Raw genomic sequence first — 16,968 nt, 5'->3', positions numbered from 1 at the left:
TATTTTGAATTTTTTCTATATTTAAAATTTTTTTCTGTATTTTTTCTATATTTTATAAGTTTATTTTTATTTGAAATCTATTCCTGGATAATTATTGTGTTACTTTACAGGTTCTTTTTTTCAAACTTTTTAATGTTTCTTGTGTTTTTACTTTGATATCTGAACATCTGGTGTGATAGTTGCTCCTTCCAATTTTTTTGGATTAGCTTTTGTAGGGGAGGGCTTTTTCCTAAATTTGGTTGGATTTGGTTAGGTAGGGCATTTTGGCTTTTATTCTGGGTATGTGCTGTAGTATAGTCTCTGTATACATTTTTTTTGGCTATAAACACGATTGTTTTGTGATTTACTTTTGGTTTGGGCTGTGATTATTAGTGCAAGGCTGTGTATGTAGATGGTGGGGCAGTCTTCAGGCCCCAGTGGTGGCAGTGGTGGACCACACCTGCCTGTTCTTTGGCCAGTCAGTGGCATATGTGATCATCGCTGTTAACATGTCCAAGGGGGCTGATTCTGAGACCTTCAGGCACCTTGCTCAGGTACCAGCAGTGTCAGCAGAGGGTCAGGCAGGTGAGAGAATCATTGTGTTCCTGGAAGGCATGTGTGGTGTGAAGAATGACCACTGCAGTGGGAGGACAACCATTATGCAGGACAAGGGGAGGATAATCCCTAAAGTGGGCATGAACTTGTGTTAGTGGTAGCTGAAGTGAACTGGGCAGGCCAATCCAGGGAACCCTGGGTTGTGCTTGTGGATAGGTACCAGCTGTGATGGTAGCAGTAGGTTTGATGGGCTTGTCCTCAGGCTCTCAGTAGGAATGCACAGATACTAGCAGCAGTGGACAAGGTGGGACAATCCCCAGCTCTCCATTGGCATATTTGGGCACTGGAGGGGCAGTGACAGGTTGGGTAGGCCTGTTCTTAGGCCCCTCAATTTTGTGCATTGGCACAGGCTATAGTGGACTAGGCAGAGTGATCTCCAGTGCCCCAGCAGAGTGCTTAGGTGACAGCAGCAGCATTCATGAGGATCAGCAGGAGCCCATCCTCAACACACATGCAAGTGTGCTGCAGCCCTGCTGCTGGTGGGAGCAAGGTTGCTTTCTGTGGCAGCTGTCATAGGCAGGCATCTCTTAGGCTTTGGGGAACATGGGCTTTGGCTCCCAGTGGCAGCAGTTGAGAGAGCCAGTTCTCATGGTGTGTGCAGGTATGTGGTGGCCCTGCTGCTGGGAAGCTTGGGGTCACTGCCAGTAACACCTGTTTTGGTCCCTGGCAGCAGCAGCAGCAGCTGCTATGGCTATGGGTGGGGAGAGCCTGTGCTTAAGGTTTGTGCAAGTCTGCTACTGGCGGGGAGGGGTCACCGACAGTGGCACATGTTTTGGCCCCCACTGGTGGCTGCAACTGTGGCCGCAGGTAGGGAGAGCCTGTGCTCAAGGCTCATGCCAGTGTGGTGCAGCAGTGCTACCGGGGGTGGGTTAGGATGGGGGTGGGATTGCTGCCAGTGGCAGCAGTCCAAATCAGCCCAATTTCAGGCCCTGAAAGCATGCTTTGGCTCCCTCAGTCCAGGGTGCAACCTCCCCAGTGTACTGCACAACCTAATCCCTTGGGTGCAGAATACTGTGTGTGCTAGAGTGCCAGAGATTCTGTCTCTCTGCCGGGTCCAACTGGCATGGCACCACTGAAACCCTCTGAGTAAAGGCAGGGGGATATTAATGTAGAGCCGGGGATATGAAATATGGAATTGCAGGGGCTGTTGAGCCCCAGGGCAGGATGTAGTCTGGTGGGGCTGGGCTCTCAAAATGGTGCCATGCTTTCAGCTGCTTGGGACTTGGGGTGTGTGTGGTACCCAGCGTGAGCTCCCTCTAAGGAGCAATGCCATTGCACAGTCTCCAGGCAGCTTCCTATCTTGGTATCAGGGACTGTGAGGGTCAATGGGCCCTCCTGTGGTTAGGGTTGCAAGAGTCTGTAGTGGGAATGTGGAGCGCTAAGGATCTCCCACTTATCCTTTCCCCACCCTGAGGATTCTCTCCCAGCTTCTAGCTGCTCCTGGCCAAGCCGTCTGCCTTGCTTACTTCCTAATTATTTATATTACGCCTGTTTTTAAATCTTTGCTTGGTAATTCTGTCATTTCTGTCATCTAGAATAACATCTGTTGGCTGTCTTTTTTCCTAGAGTGAGATCACTTTTTTCTTCAGTATGATGAGTACATTTCAATTGAAACCTGGATATTTGGAGTATAATGTTATGATATCTCAATCTTTCTCCAAACCTTCTGTTTTCACTGGTCCTTTTTTATACTGATCCAGCAGGGGAAGGAAAGGTCACACTGCCTTGTGACCGCCAGGTGGTGGTAGAAAAATCCAGGTCACTACTCTGTGTTTTTTGACTACCAAAAGGGAGGGGGCTCCTCGTTACTGCTAAATGCAGGTGGGATTTTAGATTAACCACTAGGTCTTCACTGATACCTCTATGGCTGGCAGGTGTAGGAGTGCCCCATTAGGCTCCCTCCATGGCCTCCACTGACACTACAGGGTGGGGAGCAGCCTCCTTAGTGCTAGGCAGTGAAGAAAGGGTTGACTCTCTGCCAGGCTTCCTCCTACATCTCCCCCGTGGGGATGGGGTGGGTGCTCCATTACTGGAATGTGGGGTGAAATTCCTGGCTTTCCTGCGGTCTTTACCGACACCTGGAGTGGGATGGGACTCTTTACTGCTTAGCCAGGATGAAAGTCCTGGATCCCTACTGGCCTTCTTTGCCACCACCTCATTGGAAGGATTGGGATGTAGTATCTTGTAGCCACGTGAGGGCCTGTGGTTAGGCTTCTTACTTGGTCTTTGCTGGTAGGGTAGTGCCACATATTTTTCTGAGGTATTTGGTTAGAGGAGAGTAGTTATTGTCTAAAACTGTTCTGTCTTGCTAGACTGTCACTTTCCTGGTACTTTGGCTAAAGTAAGCAGGCTTTTGGCAGGGCACAAAAAAAGGGTACTTTTACTTTCTGCAAACATCGGAAGTTCTGGGTTGCCAACTTTTGAGATATATGAGGCAAAAAAACAAAACTAAACTGAACAAACACCTCATCAACATGTCATTCCTAAAACTGCAAGGTCACTAGTCATTCTCCCTGTTCCTTTTTACCCTTCAAAGTCTTCATATGTTTGTTTTATATACAATATCCAGCATTTCCCATTATGATTAGCAGAAATAATAAGAAAAATGTATCTACTCCATCTTCCCCAAAGCAGAAGTTTTGCAGCAGAATTTAAAAAAAAAATTAATGAAAGAATGTGAGAACCAAAGAATTTATATCCAACCAAGTATGCTTCCATCCTTTACTAAACATGCCTTTCAACTCATTCAATGTATTTTTAATCATACACATTGCAGTTATCATCTCTAAAAGGTTGATTCAGATATTTTATATCTTCCATGTCTTTACTGAAGATATTCCAGTTTTTCTCTTCCTTTTTGAACATAGGAAATACAGTTATAAGAACTCTTTTGTGTCTGCGGCTCCCAATTCTTTCATTTGTGTCAGTTTGTGGTCACTTTTGATTTATCTTCCTCCTCATAATGGGAAGCATTTTCATATTTCTTTTCATGGTTGGTAATTTTTCTTGGATTCTAACAATAGTCAAATATATATTTTAGATGCTGGATGTTTTCATATTTTTATAAATGTTAATGGGTTTTTGTTCTAAGTCATTCAAATTTATTTTGAAAAAGTTTGATCTTTCAGGGTCTTTTTACGTGATCTTTTTTGTTATGTGGTCTTTTTTGTTATGTGGCATTAGAGCAGGCTTTGGTCTAGGTTAATTATTTCTTTCCTGAGGCAAAAATTATCTTGCCTTCTCTAACTCATCTCCTGTGAGTGATCAGGATTTTTGTCCTGCCTAGTAAGAAGAGGCAATAATCCTAGTCCTTTCTACACTTCAGAGATTTTTAAAATCCTTTTGAGTGATTCTTTCCACATCCTTAAATGCACATACACATGCACCGACTTTAATCCACTAAATTCTCGGGGGGATCCTCTGTAGAACTCTGTTAGTTTTCTCTATGCAACGTTCTCCTTGCCAGTACTCTACCCTACAAACCATATGTCATTACAGGAAGTTGCATGAAGAACATAAGAAAATTTTATGTATAATTTTGCAACTTTTATGAGACTAAAGTTATTTTACAATAAAAAGTTTAAACATTTTTAAAAGTATGTAAACTCACACATATTTTGAGCAAAGCATGGACAAGACCTATACTTACTGAAATTATAAAATACTGCTAAGAGGAATTAAAAAAGACTTACATCATCAAAGACATATACCCTTTTTATGGATAAAGAATGACTCCGTATAACTATGACTGTAATTATTCCAAAATTTATCAGTCAATTCTACAAAAGTCCAAGCAAAATCCCAATGTGGTTTCTAAAATTAATATAGAACATTTTAAAAATATATATATTTTTTATTTAAATTACAGTTCAACTTCACTAGGCAGTGAGTAACATAGAAGCATGTAGCAGTTAGATGACTTGGGTGGAGAAGCCTACATCTTATCTACATGAGGATAATTACAAATGAGTAATAATAAACTTAAATTCAAGGGAATTTTATTTCATTGTACATTATAAACTGTATAATTAGGTAAAGTTGTTTCTCTCCTCAAATAATCTTATTTTTTTGGCCTTTCAGAGTAATTGAAATTTATTGCTTTGGATTAAGGCATTATATTTTGAGAAGTTCTCAATTAAAAAAAAATTGTAGGGAAATGTATTCTTACCAATACCCTAATCTTTGTTTAATTGCACAGGTTAGAATTGATTAGGCTTGCTTCCTTTCTTTCTTTCTTTCCTTCTTTCTCTTTCTTTTTCTTTTCTTTCTCTCCTTCTTTCCTTCCTTCCTTCTTTCCTTCCCTCCTTCTCTCCCTCCTCCTTTTTCTCTTCCTTTCCTTTCCATTCCCTTCCCTTTCCTCTTTTCTTTCTTTCCTTTCTTTTTCTTTCTTTCTTTTTCTTCTTTCTCTTTCTTTCTCTTTCTTTCTCCTTCCTTCATTCCTTCCCTCCTTCCTTCCTTTCTTCCCTCACTCCCTCCCTTCCCTTCGTTCCTTCCCTCCCTCCCTCCCCTTCATTCCTTCCCTCCTTTCCCTCCCTCCTTTCCCTCCCTCCCTTTCCTCCCTCTTTCCTCCCTCCCTTCCTTCCTTCTTTTGTAGTAAGAACACTTAATATGGGATCTACCCTCTTAACAAATGTTTAAGTATAAAATACAGTATTATTAACTATAGGAACAATGTTCTACACCAGATTTCTAGAGCTTATTCTCCTTCTATAACTGAAACTTTATGCTCTGAGAAACAACTCCCCATTCCGCATTCTCCTGCCCCTAAGCCCTTGGAAAGTATTATTATACTCTCAGTTTCTATGGGTTTTCCTATATTAGATACCTCATGTAAGTGAAACCATGCAGCATTTGTCCTTCTGTGACTGGCTTATTTCACTTAGCATAACATTTCCCAGATACATCCATGTTGTCACATAAGTCAGGATTTTCAAAAGGCTGAATAATAATATATTGTGTGTGAATTTCACATGTTTCTTATTCATTTATGTGTCAATGGACATTTAAATTGTTTTGATATCTTGACTATTGTAAATAATGCTGTAATGAACATGGTAGTGCATATATCTCTTCAAGGTAGACTAAGCAATCTTGAGAAAGAAGGCTGGAGGCATCACATCTCCTGATTTTAAAATACATTACAAAATGTTAGTCATTAAAACACTATGGTACTGTTTTAATAGGTATAAAAATAGATATAAAAATGAAGGGACATATAGAGAACCCATAAATAAACCCATGCATATATAGTCAACTGATCTTCAATAAGAGTGCCCAGAATATGCAAAGGAAAAAGAACATTCTCCAACAAACAGTAATGGGAAAACTGGATATCCACATGCAAAATAATGAAATTGAACCATTATTGTATACTATACAGCAAAATCAACCCAAAATGGATTGAAGATTTAGACATAAGTCCTGGAACTGTAAGCTTCTAGGAGAAAACTTAAAAAGAAAACTTTATGACTTTGGGCTTGGCAATGATTTCTGGAATACAACACCAAAAGCACAAGCAACAACAGCAAAATTAGACAAATAGAATAGACAGACATATAGCCAAGAAATTTATAAAAAGATGCTCAACATCACTAGTCATCGGAGAAATGCAAATCAAAATCACAATGAAATATCACCTTACATCGGTAGGATGGGCCACCAAAAAAAAGGGGGGAACAATTGTTGGAGAGAATCTGGAGAAATGAGAACTCTTGTATATTGTTGATGGGATGTAAAATGGTGCAGCAACTCTGGAAAACGGTATATCAACTCCTCAAAAATTAAAAATAAAATTATTATATTGTTTAGGAATTCCATTGCTGGTTATCTATTCAAAAGAATTGGAACTCAACATTTTTTTTATAAAAATTGATAACCTTATTCTAAATGTATATGGAAAAGTCAAGGACCTAAATTAGCTACTAAAATTTTGAAGACAGAAAAATAAAGATTAAAAACATATTTTATCTGAGTCTAATATTTACTTCAAAGCTACAGAAACCAAAACATTTTGGTATTGGTGTGAGGTCAGACATAGCGATCCATAAAATAGAATATTAAGCCCAGAAATAATTGGACACATTAATTGATATTCTTCAAATCAATTGTACCATAAATCAAAGGTACCATATTTCAATAAGGAAAGGAAAATCTTTTGAAAAAATTATGCTGGAACACCTGTATATCAATATAAAAAGTAAATGAATCACAACTTTAATCTCACATCAAATAAAAATTAACTTGACATAGATGGTAGTCCTAAACATAAGCAAATTGATAACACTTTCAGAAGAGAAATACAGATAATAGTAATAATATTGATGCAAGCAAAAATGTCTTAGATATAACATAATAAGCATGAACAATAAAATAAAAAACTAATTGGACCTCACTAAAATTAAAACCTTTTTCTCATAATAGGCATCATTAAGAATATAAAAATCTAAGCCACAAACTAGGAAAAAATAATTGGCAATGCATGTATGAAAAAGAGTTTGTATACACAAGACATAAAGAATTCTTACAATTCTGTAATAATAAGACAACTAATAAAATATGAGTAAAATGTTCAAGCAGATTTTTTTTTTGAAAAGGGGGTCTCACTCTGTCACCCAGGCCAGAGTGCAGTGGCATGATGTTGACTCACTGAAACCTCCGCCTCCCAGACTCAAGTGATCCTCCCACCTCAGCCTCCCAAGAAGCTAGGACCACAGGCAACACACCCGGCTACTTTTTGTATTTTTGGTAGAGGAGGGGTTTCACTGTGTTGCCTAGGCTGGTCTTGAACTCCTGAGCTCAAGCTATCCTCCCGCCTCAGCCTCCCAAAGTGCTAGGATTACAGGCATGAGCCACTGTACCTGGCTGCAGATATTTCTCTATGGAAGATATACAAATAGCTAAATGCATAAAAACATGCCAATTTTTTTAATTCAAGGTCATGCAAAGTAAATTCATGATGAGATAATACTACACAACAATAAGAATGGCTAAATTAAGACTGAAAACTCCAACTACTAAAATGGAGATGGGATAGCTGAAACTCTCGTACATTCCTGGTGAAAATATAAAATGGTATCCTTACTTTAGAGAATATTTAGCAGCTTCTTAACAAGTTAAACATGCATTTACCATATGACCTAGCAATCCCATGACTGGATAGTTACCCTCAAAGAAATCAAAACCTATAACCACACAAAATATTAACTATTAAATAAAAGAATTATTCATAACTGTTAAAAATTGGAAACAATCCAAATGTTCATCAACACATGAATACACCATGAGATAATTGTACAACAGGATAATTCTCAGAGGTAGAGAAGAATAAACTGTGCATGACTGTGCCATAACAAAATGAATTACAAAAACTTTGTATGGAGAGAAAGCAGCCAAATAAAAAAAAAGTTCATGCTGTTTGATTTCATTTATATAAAACCTTTAGACCATGCAAAACTATTGCATAGTAACAGAAAGAAGACCATCTTTTGCCTGAAGCAAGGATGGGAGGGATTTATTTACAAAAGGTCTAAGGGGACATTCCAGGCTTATGTAAATGTTGATTGGGGTGGTAGTTATATGAGTAATATATTTACCAAAACTTTTGTAACTATGCACTTAAAATGGAGACATTTATTATTGCATGCAAATTATACTGCAATAAAGTTGACTAAAAATCACAGCACCCTTGTCTGATTTGTGCAGTGGGTAATTAGGGAAAGACTTATACCTATTGAATCCCCCCTCCATGGCCAGGGTAGTGATATCCATATTTGCCAGTGGTAGTTACCTGACATCATTAAAATAAAATTCTCATAACAGTAGACAATGGTAGAGAAACCTCATTTTTTAAGGTTTAGTTTAATCACCAACTTCTGAATGTCATCTTTGATTATCCCACATGCCTGCACATAAGGATGCTGAAATAGAAAAATCTAAAAAAAAAATCCTGAACTTATATGAGTTAGTACTATGAGATACTCCTAACAAAAAGCTGAGGAACACTTTGAGATCACATAATCTCTCATAAGAAAGGTATTCAAGGGTCATCCAGTGTAGTTTATGTTTCATTGAGATATACTGATAGATGATGGGATACAGCAAGCCTTTTAAAGTACCTATTATATACTAGACACTCCTGAGCTACAAAGATGAATCAAACAAAAGCTACACCACAAGAAACTGTAAATATAAAGGAGGAATCAGACATGCACAAAAGTAATTCTAAGGCAAGTGCTTTCCTGCAAAGACATGGTAATAAAGAAATATCTCAGGAAGCAGCACATTTACGAGGCCGACAAAATTTTAACACCCATCCTGAAAAGGCACACTTGGCAGACAAATTAACACGTTAAAAAGACACCATCAATCTAAACTTTTTTAAAACCATAAAATAAAGAGCATTCTCTATGTTAGCATTGGCAAATGTATCCTTCTAGTTGAAGCTCAAATAGCATATGGAATTATCTAAAGCATTCAGTTTAAAATTAGCACTGAAACAGTCCTGAATGCTCAAGGAACCAGCCTCATCTGAGCTATGAAAGAGTGATTTAGCTGTGCCTAAGGGGCAATATGTTTCATAAAACCCTTATCTTTTTTTAATGATATAAAGCAACTAGTCTGAAAGGGTTTTGCCTTAAAGGCCTCTTAAAGTCTGCAGCAAAATAACCTAAAATTACCATGTCTTCTATTAAACATACCGTGCTGCTATCGTAAGACTGAGCTTCAATACAGTGTTTACTAAGATTGCAAAGTCTAAGAGCTGCTAACTACTCTATAAACTGGCTAATCTGATCTCTATATGAGGACGTTAGAAGGGGAATATAGAGCTCTTTCAATAATGGAAATAATTCCTTATCTGACAAGTTTCCTGTCTTCCTAGGTTGCAGGTTCTGCACAGTGTAACACCTCCGTTTTCTCACAAGCCAAATTTAGCTCATTTCTTTAAGGTTCAGTTTAATCATCAACTTATGAATGCCATCTTTGATTACTCCAGGAAAAGGAAAAATCTTCCTTTGAATCTCCCTAGCACTTTGTATTCCTCCGTTTTTAATTAAATCACTACATTCCACACTTCATAGTTACAATGTGTGTCACCTCATTCTATTGTATTTCAAGTTCTTTGACTCAAGTGTATGTCTTATACACATTGGTAAATTGGTATCTTCAAGCATCTGATATTGTGCCTAATGAAGAATAAATGAGGAAATAATTAATTAAAGTAATATAGCAACTACAAAAAGTCTATTCATGAGAACTGGGTTCGATTTAAAAGTTGAATTCATATAATTTCATTTGAAAGCAAAATTTGTTCCTACTAAAAGGATAAAAGTATCTCTTGGAATTCCTAAAAACTTCTGTCGTTATATCGTGCCTTCAGGAACACACAAAAAAAAGGTTTCAAATAAAAAGATGAAGGAAGAAAACAGTGAGAAAAAGAGAAGGTAAAAACTAAATAACAAAACACTGGTAGCCAGTGGGTGACAGAGCATGTTTTAATACATGTAAAGTGACTTAGATGATTGACAATTACATTATAAACTTGGCAATGTGAATGTGTGTAAGTTCTTTTATACAAATGCTCTGCTCTTACTGAATCATACATTCACGCAAGATCTGAACTAATAAAGCCACCTCTTTTTTGGGGGGGAATATGTGGGGGAATTTCCTTGAACAGTGTGACGCTTATTTTTTCCTTTCACTAGAAAGACCAGGCATGTTTCTCAGTCAGATAGTAGGCAAAGGAAAAAGATAGTGGTTTAGATAGATTGAGCTGCACACATCTAAGAAGAGTATGATATAACTTAATTAAAAGTTCTCAGTGGCCAGAGAGGTGTGTCTCTCAGATACCCTTTAAGAGAAAGTGCTCTAAGGAGCATAGTTGACAGTCCCACTGCCACACCCCTGGATCCACCTAGATACAAACATGAAAGCCATGCTCCTCAGGTTTCTTCTAACCAATGACTGGGCACAGTGGTGGTAGTAGCTGGGCCATTTTTGCCTGAGTAGTCAACTTTTGCTTGAGGATTCCCTTTAGCCCAGCTGAGACAGTGCTGTGCCGAGGTTTGAGAGGCTAGGAAGAGCTCAAGCCTTCCTTTCCCTTTTGTTTCGCTAGTGTCAGATCTGTGTCATTTTCTGAAGCCTCTGACTGCCTACTCCTGCTCCATTCCCCTTTATGATTTGCAGGCATTTCCTCCAATAAAGCTGTCAAATTTCTAATTTCCTGTTTTGGCTTTTGCTTCTTAACAGGCCTGAATTGAATGAAAAAGATATCCCTTTATATTTATTTGCCCCACAAGTAGAGACTCAGATTTAATCCATTCATGTGGTTATACTTGGGATTTTCCCCAGGCCCCATGTTCTAACTTGCAATCCCCTGAAAGGGGCTTTCTTCTGTGTAGTGTCTAGAGCACTGATTTTCAAATACCGTTTTGAGGATTATTCTCAAGCATGATGTATCTTTTTAAAAAATACGTGGCTCAACCCAAGCTCATGAATTATTTACAAAGTATAAAAAGCAAACAATTAAAAATCCACAAGAATATATATTTTAACTTGCTTTTCTAGGTTAATTTGATAAATAACCATGTGTATGAGGTTTCTATTGCTGCATAACAAATTATCACATACTTGGTGGCTTATAAAAACACATTATCCTACAGTTTTTCTGGGTCAGGAATCCATGCAAAACTTAACTGGTTTTTCTGCTCAGGGTCTCACAAGGATGCACTCAAGGCATTAGCTGGGCTGCACTCGTGTCTGAAAGCTCAAACTGAGGAGACTCTGCTTCCAAAATCATTCAGATTGTTGGCAGAATTTATTTCCGCATAGTAGTCTACTGAGATACCCAACATTTTGCTGACTGCCTGCTAGAGACCACGTTCAGGTCTTTAGTGGCTGCCCCCAGTTCCCTAAGAGGTACCTCTCTTCACAAGTCACAACATAGTGTCTACTTTATCAAGGCTATAAGAGAATCTATTTTTCTAGTCTGCTAAGATAGCACCTTATATGACAAAACACAATCACGGGAGAGATATCCCATCACTTTTGCCACATATTACACAAAACAAGTTGGAAGCAAGTTATGGATCTCATCCACAATCAAGGGGAGGGAATTACATAAGGGCTTGGATGATTGTGACCATCTTAGGGCGTTTTACTACACTGGGTTTGGGAATCATCAGCCTAGACGATGAGAATATTGCTTATCTCAAAAAGTAGAACAAGCCAGACCTTACTACATCGTGGTATTAAGAACTATGCATCATCCTTCTCTTCAACTTTAAAGGTAAGATGCTATTCTGCCAGATCTAAAGAGGACTATGAAGCATCTGAGTGATATTCAGACAACCTTACTTTTCACTAATTCTGTATCGGGTAAGAATTTTCTTTATAGCCCAGTGAGTAAACAAAAGGAAAACATATTTCAGACCTATAGATGTTTCTATAGCAGAAGACAGAAGTCAAAGGAAAACTCTTCCTCTGAACTGAATTCACTTAAAAATGCTTAAGAAAAGTTTAGAAGGCAGTTAAGCCCAATTGTGAATAACTTTACTTCTAACGTATGATGGATTAGAATTTGAACACCTGACTCAACAATTACCAATTACGTGACTTTGAATTACTTAATTAATTTCTCTTACTCTTTCTTTCCTAGTCTATAATTGGGATAAGAGAAGCCATGTTAAGGAATGGTTATGAAGATTCAATTTGATAATGCATAAAAAGACACAGCTCATTATTATAAATTAAATATTGGCTATTATACTTAAAAGTAATATTGATCATGGTTATGGTCATGAGCAAATTCATGGGATAAGTGACTCTGCGGAAAATAAAATGGAATAGTTTGGTATAAGTTAAAACAGCAGGTAAGAAAAAATTTTGTCAAACAAGAGAAACAAGTAATTAGATAGTAGTCTCAAAAAATCCAAAATTCAAAAGAAAAGAATAAAATTTAAAAAATAAGAAAAACATAAATAATATATGACATAAATATTTATAAGTATTTGGTTTATTAGCTTTTTTTTTTTTTCCAGACAGGGTTTTGCCCTGTTGTCCAGTCTGGAATGCAGTGGCACAATCAGCTCACTGTAACCTGGAATTCCTGGGCTCAAGCAATCCTTCCAACTCAGCCTCCCAGTAGCTAGGATAACAGGTGTGCACCACCACACCTGGCTAATTTTTAAAATTTTTGTAGAGATGAAGCCTTCCAAAGATCTGGGATTACAGGCTTCAGCCACTGCACCCAGCCTGCTTATTAACTTTAAAAATAAAAATTTTTAAAAAGCCCTTAGACTTCTTATTCACAACCTAAATATTAGAGACTATTAATGTTATATATAAAATATATTGAGGGAAAGAGGCCATAACTCAAAATTATCTACTCAACTAACTTGTTGCTCTGAAAGAGTTAAAAGACTTTTTGTATATGCAAGGTCTAGAAAAACATATTGCTTAGGTTTATTATTCCTGAAAGAATATTCAAATATGACCCAGATAAGTAAGATGTGGTTTCAAATAAATAAGCAAAAAAGTGTGAAAAAGAGAAGGGAAAGACTTTTGTGTTTAATGAACCAGGTGAAAGAATAGAGATAATATCAGGCCTCTGAGTCCAAGCTAAGCCATCATATCCCCTGTGACCTGCACGTACACATCCAGATGGCCAGTTCCTGCCTTAACTGATGACGTTCCACCACAAAAGAAGTGAAAATGGCCTGTTCCTGCCTTAACTGATGACATTGTCTTGTGAAATTCCTTCTCCTGGCTCATCCTGGCTCAAAAGCTCCCCTACTGAGCACCTTGTGACCCCCACACCTGCCCGCCAGAGAACAACCCCCCTTTGACTGTAATTTTCCTTTACCTACCCAAATCTCATAAAACAGCCCCACCCCTATCACCCTTCATGGACTCTCTTTTCGGACTCAGCCCGCCTGCACCCAGGTGAAATAAACAGCCTTGTTGTTCACACAAAGCCTGTTTGGTGGTCTCTTTACATGCGGTCATGTGATGCACATGAAAGATATGTCTAAATAAATGCTGAAAATGTCATCACAATAGGTGAAGCAATTATATTATACATATAGACTTATTTTTCTTTTTAATTCTAGGAATTAGAATCTTAGATTTTTGACTAATTAAAGTCAATTGGTTTGTGAAACAAATCGTCTCCCTGATATTATAAAAAGGTATCATATTTCTTTTTCTGATTAAACAATTAGGTAAGCATTAGTTGAAGTGTATGCTGAACAAATCTTTACCAATATATAAGTATATATAATATGTATATATAAACTGGCATAAGAAGAAATAAGCATAGCAAATAAGAAACTATATGGAACCGAATCATATTCTATGAAAAGTCATTTTTAAATTTTGTGCTACAAAAAACATAATTTGTTTATGTGGCTTAAAACAGCATGATGTAAGGTTAAAAATGAAAGCAAAAACAAATATATCAAAGAAAAACAAGTAACAGTGATTATTAATATAAACATATAAAATTCAAAGGAGAAAAGCAAACAAAACGACATAAAATTTTATTTTATGGTAAAGAAACAGACAATCATTTAAAATAAAACCAAAATAAGCTTTGATATAACCAATAAGTTGGTATCAGAACAAAGAGAGATATACTGAAAGAATCACTTTTAAAATAACTACATTTGGCACCATGAAAAAATTTTTTAAATAATAAAATGAGAATTTATTCAGAGTATATTTTCTAATTTAAATTGAATAGTACTAGGCTAATTTAAATTAAATAATATTACATAATAATTTTAAAAATACTTTCAACTGCTTGGATCTTCAAAAGTGTTCTCTTACATAAATGCTGGATCCAGGTGGAATTTCAACATACTGTAAGTCAATACTTAAGATTAAAGACAAACAGAATAAAGTTAATTGAATTTGAAAGATAAATTTATAAGCCTAAATGTTTTTCTTCTTTAAAAATAGAGAAGAAATGTTTAAGCTTAATAAATCAAATAAAATAATTAAACTAAGCTGAAAAATGCAGTATTCAAAAAATAGAGATTATATTTTTAAAAAGTAAAAAATATTAGAAAATATCTAGAAGACTCAGTCAAGAAAAACTAGAAATGAACTTTTTCAAGAAAAAGAATGGAACTCTAGGAATATAGTGGACTTGTATAAATATATACTATACAAGAAATTAATGTTAATGACAATTTTTTAAAAAACTAATGGCTCTCAAAAATGTAAATTATTAAAGAAAAAGAAAAGATGAATTTACTTTAAAATAATTAAAAATGACAATGAAAACTTTACCAGTGAATGTGGAGGAGATGATTTATCTTAGGTAATAAAATATTTCAGCTAAGATTTAATGAAACTAGTGTGACCCTGTAGATAATTAGACTACAATTGAGAAATAATGTTCAGTCCTTTAAAATGTTTACCAAGACTATATAATGACATTAAAATGTTTATAGAGTCAAGTAAAAAAGTTGAATAAAAGATTTCAAAACTCATATTCTTACACTATCTGTAAAATTCAAAAGTTTATCATAAACCTTAAAGATTAAAAATAATGCCCAAATGTTACCAGTAACTATACTTGCATGATAGAATTATCAGCAGGTTTGCAGGAAAATCTTTGAAAGTATTTTCTCAATATTCTTTGTTACATTTGTTATAGATATTATTCTAAGTCCAATGCTTACAGCATTAAAAGCAAAAACAAAACAAAACCCCACATTCCTCCAGCTTTTCTTCTAATAAGGGAGATAAACGTGTGTGTATGCATGTGTGTCTTGAGGCACTGACAAGTGCTATGATGAAAAACAAAGTTGGGATACAAAGCAATGGGAAGGTGCCACGATAGACACATTGTAGGGATTTGGTCAGGATGGTGGGAGGAATTGTAAAATAAATACAAACCTTCTTGGAAGGCTGGAAGGTTTTTGCAAAAGCCTCCGGATAGAGTTATGACTGAAGGCAGTCTAATCCTCTTTGAGGTATAGCAAGGGTAATTAACATAGGAATGTAGAGGAGTCTACCTAAATAGCTTGTTTACTCATTTGGTCCTAAGACTAACCTTTGACCATGATTGCTCTCTACTGGGGGGTCAGCAACAGTAATTACCTTCTAGTAGCGTTTCCTTGAGACCTTTGTCATTTAATGTGTGCTGAATAAATGCCCGCAGGGCCAGGGGGTTGAGGCTGCCACTGCAACTCTGTACAGCACCTTCCTTAGTGTCTGTAAGTGGCCCAGACCCACAGCTGGACTGATAAGCAGAATATCTGTGTCAGTGTATGCTATTCATCCATCACTGGGTCAGGGTCTGCGGGACAGACCCCCACAACACATTTTCTCTGACGTTTTGAAATTTAAGCAGAGAATTTGAATAAAGAAAAAGGTTGAGTTATATGAATATTTGGGTATGTTCATTAGCCTGAGAGAATATCAAATGCAAGGACCCTGAGTGTGCTTGAGGATTCCAAGAAAAGTAAGAAGGCCATTGAGGGTTGGGTGGTTAGAGTAAGAAAAGGAATTATAGGAGATGAGTGTGAGATGATACAGGACCTTAGAAATTATGTAAGAGACTTTTGATTTTATTCTGCATGTAATGGGAAGAACTGGATAGCTTTGAGTAGACAATGTTATGATGTGATGTAATTTCTGTTTTAATTGGAATATATCTTTTTTTTTGTAGCTGGAGTCTCGCTCTGTTGCCCAGGCTGGAGTGTAGTGGCGCGATCTCAGCTCACTGCAACCTCCACCTCCTGGGTTCAAGCAATTCTCCTGCCTCAGCCTCCTGAATAGCTGGGACTACAGGCGCCCGCCACCACACCTGGCTAATTTTTCATATTTTAGTAGAGGTGGGGTTTCACTGTGTTACCCAGGCTGGTCTCAAACTCCTGAGTTCAGGCAATCCACCCACCTCGGCCTCCCAAAGTGCTGGGATTACAGGCGTGAGCCACCACGCCCTGCCATAATTTCTGTTTTAAAATTATTACTTTGTCTGCTAAATAGAGATCTGCGGCAAGTTGGTTTGGTGAGGAAAGAAGAAAATGATGGTGGTTTGGACAGTTTTTCATTGTGTATCATCTTACAACAAAAACATATGATTCAGCAATTAAAAACTGGAAAAGTTACTTGTTGAATTTATAACTGACTGAGGTTATCAAATTAGTCTTATAAAACTTCACACAATTTGATTAGATTAATACTAAAACCTCAATAGTTAAATTATTAAAAGTTAGCACAGATTATTTTAATTAAACAAACCTGAAGATGTGCATACTCACAAGTGATCACAGTAAAGCAAACAAAAATATAACAATTCCAATTATGTACTGCATTAACGCAGTTTTTTGAAACAACAATGTACAAATTTAATAAAATATAGTG

General features: G+C 36.9%; 2 annotated features.

The window, feature by feature from the left end:
- Window positions 714-1,487: an enhancer, noted in NCBI's record as "H3K27ac-H3K4me1 hESC enhancer chr3:191420965-191421738 (GRCh37/hg19 assembly coordinates)". NCBI's record gives its function as "activates a minimal SCP1, AML or CMV promoter by ChIP-STARR-seq in naive H9 embryonic stem cells {active_cell/tissue: H9 hESC(naive)}" and the evidence as "EXISTENCE:reporter gene assay evidence [ECO:0000049][PMID:30033119]".
- Window positions 15,198-16,026: an enhancer, noted in NCBI's record as "OCT4-NANOG hESC enhancer chr3:191406426-191407254 (GRCh37/hg19 assembly coordinates)". NCBI's record gives its function as "activates a minimal SCP1, AML or CMV promoter by ChIP-STARR-seq in naive H9 embryonic stem cells {active_cell/tissue: H9 hESC(naive)}" and the evidence as "EXISTENCE:reporter gene assay evidence [ECO:0000049][PMID:30033119]".

This window comes from Homo sapiens, chromosome 3 (genome assembly GCF_000001405.40).
Source record: "Homo sapiens chromosome 3, GRCh38.p14 Primary Assembly".
NCBI classification, from domain to species: Eukaryota; Metazoa; Chordata; class Mammalia; order Primates; family Hominidae; genus Homo; species Homo sapiens.
This window is presented reverse-complemented; position numbering and strand designations above follow the sequence as displayed.